Source organism: Homo sapiens, chromosome Y (genome assembly GCF_000001405.40).
Source record: "Homo sapiens chromosome Y, GRCh38.p14 Primary Assembly".
Lineage (NCBI taxonomy): Eukaryota > Metazoa > Chordata > Mammalia > Primates > Hominidae > Homo > Homo sapiens.
This window is the reverse complement of record NC_000024.10, coordinates 1,703,262-1,710,814: the sequence shown is the minus strand read 5'-3', so window position 1 is coordinate 1,710,814 and position 7,553 is coordinate 1,703,262. Positions and strand designations below refer to the sequence as shown.

Sequence of the window (7,553 nt, the reverse complement as noted above, 5' to 3'; positions counted from 1 at the left end):
ACTGAGTTTATACTAGTATATATAGGAGTTTATACTATTAATATATAATACAAATTCTAATGAGTTTATACTAGTATATGTGTTTATGAGTTTATAATATATACTAATATACAGATACTGAGTTTATACTAGTATATATGAGTTTATACTAATGAATTTATACCAATTTTTATTGGTATATTTGGTATATTAATTTATCATATTAATATATTATACAAATACTAATGAGTTTATACTACTATATATGTTTATACTAATGAGTTTATAACAATGTATATTTATTATACTAATATTATTATACAAATACTACTGGGTTTATTCTACTATATACATGAGTTTATACTAATGAGTTTACAGTAATATATATTTATGATACTAATATATATTATACAAATACTAATGAGTTTATACTAGTACATATATTAGTTTCTACTAGAGTTTATGTTGATATTTATAATACTAATATGTATTACACTTATACTAATGAGTTTATATTAGCATATATGTTTATACTGAGTTTATACCTATATATTTATTATGCTAATATATATTATACAAATAGTAATGGGTTTATTCTACTATACGAGTTTATACTAATGAGTTTACACTAATGTATATTATACTTATACAAATACTAATGAGTTTATACTAGTATATATATTAGTTTCTGCTAGTTTATGTTGATATTATACTAATATATATTACACTTATACTGAGTTTATATTAGCATATATGTTTATACTAATAAGTTTATACCTATATCTTTATTATACTAATATATATTATACAAATAGTAATGGGTTTTTCTACTATATATGAGCTTATACTAATGAGTTTACACTAATTTATTATACTAATATATATTATACAAATACTAATGAGTTTATACTAGTATATACATGAGTTTATACTAGTATATACATGAGTTTATACTAGTATATACATGAGTTTATACTAGTATATACATGAGTTTATACTAGTATATACATGTTTATACTAGAGTTTACATTAATATATGTTATACAGCCGGAGGAGCCAAGATGGCCGAATAGGAACAGCTCCGGTCTACAGCTCCCAGCATGAGCGACGCAGAAGATGGTGATTTCTGCATTTCCATCTGAGGTACCAGGTTCATCTCACTAGGGAGTGCCAGACAGTGGGCGCAGGTCAGCGGGTGCGCGCACCATGCACGAGCCGAAGCAGGGCGAGGCACTGCCTCACTCCGAAAACGCAAGGGTTCAAGGAGTTCCCTTTCCTAGTCAAAGAAAGGGGTGACAGACGGCACCTGGAAAATTGGGTCACTCCCACCCGAATACTGCGCTTTTCAGACCGGCTTAAAAAACGGCACGCCAGGAGATTATATCCCGCACCTGGCTCGGAGGGTCCCACGCCCATGGAGTCTCGCTGATTGCTAGAACAGCAGTCTGAGATCAAACTGCAAGGCGGCAGCGAGGCTTGGGGAGGGGCGCCCGCCATTGCCCAGGCTTGCTTAGGTAAACAAAGCAGCCGGGAAGCTCGAACTGGGTGGAGCCCACCACAGCTCAAGGAGGCCTGCCTGCCTCTGTAGGCTCCACCTCTGGGGGCAGGGCACAGACAAACAAAAAGACAACAGTAACCTCTGCAGACTTAAATGTCCCTGTCTGACAGCTTTGAAGAGAGCAGTGGTTCTCCCAGTACGCAGCTGGAGATCTGAGAACGGGCAGACTGCCTCCTCAAGTGGGTCCCTGACCCCTGACCCCCGAGCAGCCTAACTGGGAGGCACCCCCCAGCAGGGGCACACTGACACCTGACACGGCCGGGTACTCCAACAGACCTGCAGCTGAGCGTCCTGTCTGTTAGAAGGAAAACTAACAAACAGAAAGGACATCCACACCAAAAACCCATCTGTACATCACCATCATCAAAGACCAAAAGTAGATAAAACCACAAAGATGGGGAAAAAACAGAACAGAAAAACTGGAAACTCTAAAAAGCAGAGAGCTTCTCCTCCTCCAAAGGAATGCAGTTCCTCACCAGCAACGGAACAAAGCTGGACGGAGAATGACTTTGACGAGCTGAGAGAAGGCTTCAGACGATCAAATTACTCTGAGCTACGGGAGGACATTCAAATCAAAGGCAAAGAAGTTGAAAACTTTGAAAAAAATTTAGAAGAATGTATAACTAGAATAACCAATACAGAGAAGTGCTTAAAGGAGCTGATGGAGCTGAAAACCAAGGCTCGAGAACTACGTGAAGAATGCAGAAGCCTCAGGAGCCGATGCGATCAACTGGAAGAAAGGGTATCAGCGATGGAAGATGAAATGAATGAAATGAAGCGAGAAGGGAAGTTTACAGAAAAAAGAATAAAAAGAAATGAGCAAAGCCTCCAAGAAATATGGGACTATGTGAAAAGACCAAATCTACGTCTGATTGGTGTACCTGAAAGTGATGGGGAGAATGGAACCAAGTTGGAAAACACTCTGCAGGATATTATCCAGGAGAACTTCCCCAATCTAGCAAGTCAGGCCAACATTCAGATTCAGGAAATACAGAGAACGCCACAAAGATACTCCTCGAGAAGAGCAACTCCAAGACACATAATTGTCAGATTCACCAAAGTTGAAATGAAGGAAAAAATGTTAAGGGCAGCCAGAGAGAAAGGTCAGGTTACCCTCAAAGGGAAGCCCATCAGACTAACAGCAGATCTCTCGGCAGAAATCCTACAAGTCAGAAGAGAGTGGGGGCCAATATTCAACATTCTTAAAGAATTTTCAACCCAGAATTTCATATCCAGCCAAACTAAGCTTCATAAGTGAAGGAGAAATAAAATACTTTACAGACAACCAAATGCTGAGAGATTTTGTCACCACCAGGCCTGCCCTAAAAGAGCTCCTGAAGGAAGCACTAAACATGGAAAGGAACAACCAGTACCAGCCACTGCAAAATCATGCCAAAATGTAAAGACCATCAAGACGAGGAAGAAACTGCATCAACTAACGAGCAAAATAACCAGCTAACATCATAATGACAGGATCAAATTCACACATAACAATATTAATTTTAAATGTAAATGGACTAAATGCTCCAATTAAAAGACACAGACTGGCAAATTGGATAAAGAGTCAAGACCCATCAGTGTGCTGTATTCAGGAAACCCATCTCACGTGTAGAGACACACATAGGCTCAAAATAAAAGGATGGAGGAAAATCTACCAAGCAAATGGAAAACAAAAAAAGGCAGGGGTTGCAATCCTAGTCTCTGATAAAACAGACTTTAAACCAACAAAGATCAAAAGAGACAAAGAAGGCCATTACATAATGGTAAAGGGATCAATTCAACAAGAACAGCTAACTATCCTAAATATATATGCACCCAACACAGGAGCACCCAGATTCATAAAGCAAGTCCTGAGTGACCTACAAGGAGACTTAGACTCCCACACAATAATAATGGGAGACTTTAACACCCCACTGTCAACATTAGACAGATCAACGAGACAGAAAGTCAACAAGGATACCCAGGAATTGAACTCAGCTCTGCACCAAGCGGACCTAATAGACATCTATAGAACTCTCCACCCCAAATCAACAGAATATACATTTTTTTCAGCACCACACCACACCTATTCCAAAATTGACCACATACTTGGAAGTAAAGCTCTCCTCAGCAAATGTAAAAGAACAGAAATTATAACAAACTGTCTCTCAGACCACAGTGCAATCAACTAGAACTCAGGATTAAGAATCTCACTCAAAACCGCTCAACTACATGGAAACTGAACAATCTGCTCCTGAATGACTACTGGGTACATAACGAAATGAAGGCAGAAATAAAGATGTTCTTTGAAACCAACGAGAACAAAGACACAACATACCAGAATCTCTGGGACGCATTCAAAGCAGTGTGTAGAGGGAAATTTATAGCACTAAATGCCCACAAGAGAAAGCAGGAAAGATCCAAAATTGACACCCTAACATCACAATTAAAAGAACTAGAAAAGCAAGAGCAAACACATTCAAAAAGCTAGCACAAGGCAAGAAATAACTAAAATCAGAGCAGAACTGAAGGAAATAGAGACACAAAAAACCCTTCAAAAATTAATGAATCCAGGAGCTGGTTTTTTGAAAGGATCAACAAAATAGACCTCTAGCAAGACTAATAAAGAAAAAAAGAGAGAAGAGTCAAATAGACGCAATAAAAAATGATAAAGGGGATATCACCATCAATCTCACAGAAATACAAACTACCATCAGAGAATACTACAAACACCTCTATGCAAATAAACTAGAAAATCTAGAAGACATGGATAAATTCCTCGACACATACACTCTCCCAAGACTAAACCAGGAAGAAATTGAATCTCTGAATAGACCAATAACAGGATCTGAAATTGTGGCAATAATCAATAACTTACCAACCAAAAAGAGTCCAGGACCAGATGGATTCACAGCCGAATTCTACCAGAGGTACAAGGAGGAACTGGTACCATTCCTTCTGAAACTATTCCAATCAATAGAAAAAGAGGAAATCCTCCCTAACTCATTTTATGAGGCCAGCATCATTCTGATACCAAAGCCGGGCAGAGACACAACCAAAAAAGAGAATTTTAGACCAATATCCTTGATGAACATTGATGCAAAAATCCTCAATAAAATACTGGCAAAACGAATCCAGCAGCACATCAAAAAGCTTATCCACCATGATCAAGTGGGCTTCATCCCTGGGATGCAAGGCTGGTTCAATATACGCAAATCAATAAATGTAATCCAGCATATTAAACAGAGCCAAAGACAAAAACCACATGATTATCTCAATAGATGCAGAAAAGGCCTTTGACAAAATTCAACAACCCTTCATGCTAAAAACTCTCAATAAATTAGGTATTGATGGGACGTATTTCAAAATAATAAGAGCTATCTATGACAAACCCACAGCCAATATCATACTGAATGGGCAAAAACTGGAAGCATTCCCTTTGAAAACTGGCACAAGACAGGGATGCCCTCTCTCACCACTCCTATTCAACATAGTGTTGGAAGTTCTGGCCAGGGCAATTAGGCAGGAGAAGGAAATAAAGGGTATTCAGTTAGGAAAAGAGGAAGTCAAATTGTCCCTGTTTGCAGATGACATGATTGTATATCTACAAAACCCCATTGTCTCAGCCCAAAATCTCCTTAAGCTGATAAGCAACTTCAGCAAAGTCTCAGGATACAAAATCCATGTACAAAAATCACAAGCATCCTTATACACGAACAACAGACAAACAGAGAGCCAAATCATGAGTGAACTCCCATTCACAATTGCTTCAAAGAGAATAAAATACCTAGGAATCCAACTTACAAGGGACGTGAAGGACCTCTTCAAGGAGAACTACAAACCACTGCTCAAGGAAATAAAAGAGGATACAAACAAATGGAAGAACATTCCATGCTCATGGGTAGGAAGAATCAATATTGTGAAAATGGCCATACTGCCCAAAGGTAATTTACAGATTCAGTGCCATCCCCATCAAGCTACCAATGCCTTTCTTCACAGAATTGGAAAAAACTACTTTAAAGTTCATATGGAACCAAAAAAGAGCCCGCATAGCCAAGTCAATCCTAAGCCAAAAGAACAAAGCTGGAGGCATCACACTACCTGACTTCAAACTATACTACAAGGCTACAGTAACCAAAACAGCATGGTACTGGTACCAAAACAGAGATATAGATCAATGGAACAGAACAGAGCCCTCAGAAATAATGCCACATATCTACAACTATCTGATCTTTGACAAACCTAAGAAAAACAAGCAATGGGGAAAGGATTCCCTATTTAATAAATGGTGCTGGGAAAATTGGCTAGCCATATGTAGAAAGCTGAAACTGGATCCCTTCCTTACACCTTATACAAAAATCAATTCAAGATGGATTAAAGACTTAAACGTTAGACCTGAAACCATAAAAATCCTAGAAGAAAACCTAGGCATTACCATTCAGGACATAGGCATGGGCAAGGACTTCATGTCTAAAACACCAAAAGCAATGGCAACAAAAGCCAAAATTGACAAATGGGATCTAATTAAACTAAAGAGCTTCTGCACAGCAAAAGAAACTACCATCAGAGTGAACAGGCAACCTACAAAATGGGAGAAAATTTTCGCAACCTACTCATCTGAGAAAGGGCTAATATCCAGAATCTACAATGAACTCAAACAAATTTACAAGAAAAAAACAAACAACCCCATCAAAAAGTGGGCGAAGGACATGAACAGACACTTCTCAAAAGAAGACATTTATGCAGCCAAAAGACACATAAAAAAAATGCTCATCATCACTGGCCATCAGAGAAATGCAAATCAAAACCACTATGAGATATCATCTCACACCAGTTAGAATGGCAATCATTAAAAAGTCAGGAAACAACAGGTGCTGGAGAGGATGTGGATAAATAGGAACACTTTTATACTGTTGGTGGGAGTGTAAACTAGTTCAACCATTGTGGAAGTCAGTGTGGTGATTCCTCAGGGATCTAGAACTAGAAATACCATTTGACCCAGCCATCCCATTACTGAGTATATACCCAAAGGACTATAAATCATGCTGCTATAAAGACACATGCACACGTATGTTTATTGCGGCATTATTCACAATAGCAAAGACTTGGAACCAACCCAGATGTCCAACAATGATAGACTGGATTAAGAAAATGTAGCACATATACACCATGGAATACTATGCAGCCATAAAAAATGATGAGTTCATGTCCTTTGTAGGGACATGGATGAAATTGGAAATCATCATTCTCAGTAAACTATCGCAAGAACAAAAAACCAAACACAGCATATTCTTACTCATAGGTGGGAATTGAACAATGAGAACACATGGACACAGGAAGGGGAACATCACACTCTGGGGACTGTTGTGGGGTGGGGGGAGGGGGGAGGGATAGCATTGGGAGATATACCTAATGCTAGATGACGAGTTAGTGGGTGCAGCGCACCAGCATGGCACATGTATACATATGTAACTAACCTGCACAATGTGCACATGTACCCTAAAATTTAAATAATAAAAGAAATAAACTTAAAAAATTTAAAAAAAAAGCAATAATTGGGAAAGGTGAATATCTTACTTAAGAATCATTGTATTCTGGGATCTTACCTATTGGAATTCTAATGTTTCCATTTTTATTTGCTATATAATAATGATGACATTTTATTTCACAATTGCTGACGTATTGATCTTTCTTTTAAAGCTCTGACTATGCCCCGTTCTTGCTAAAGGACCTACTTTCAATGCCCCTCATTGCCTACAGAATAAAGTACAAAATTCTTGTCTGATATAAAAAAAATATATATATTATACATATATTACGTATACTAATGAGTTTATACTAGTATGTATTTATACTAATGAATTTATACTAATACATATATTTATACTATTTAAGTAATAATGAGTTTATACTAGTATATATATGACTTAATAGTAATGAGTTTATATTATACCAATGCTGATGAGTTTATTCTACTATATATGAGTTTATACTGAATTCAAATATATATTTATTATGCTAATATATAATACAGAGT

At 37.6% G+C, this 7,553-nt stretch overlaps 1 annotated feature.

The window, feature by feature from the left end:
- Positions 1,066-1,565: an enhancer, noted in NCBI's record as "H3K4me1 hESC enhancer chrY:1778143-1778642 (GRCh37/hg19 assembly coordinates)". NCBI's record gives its function as "activates a minimal SCP1, AML or CMV promoter by ChIP-STARR-seq in naive H9 embryonic stem cells {active_cell/tissue: H9 hESC(naive)}" and the evidence as "EXISTENCE:reporter gene assay evidence [ECO:0000049][PMID:30033119]".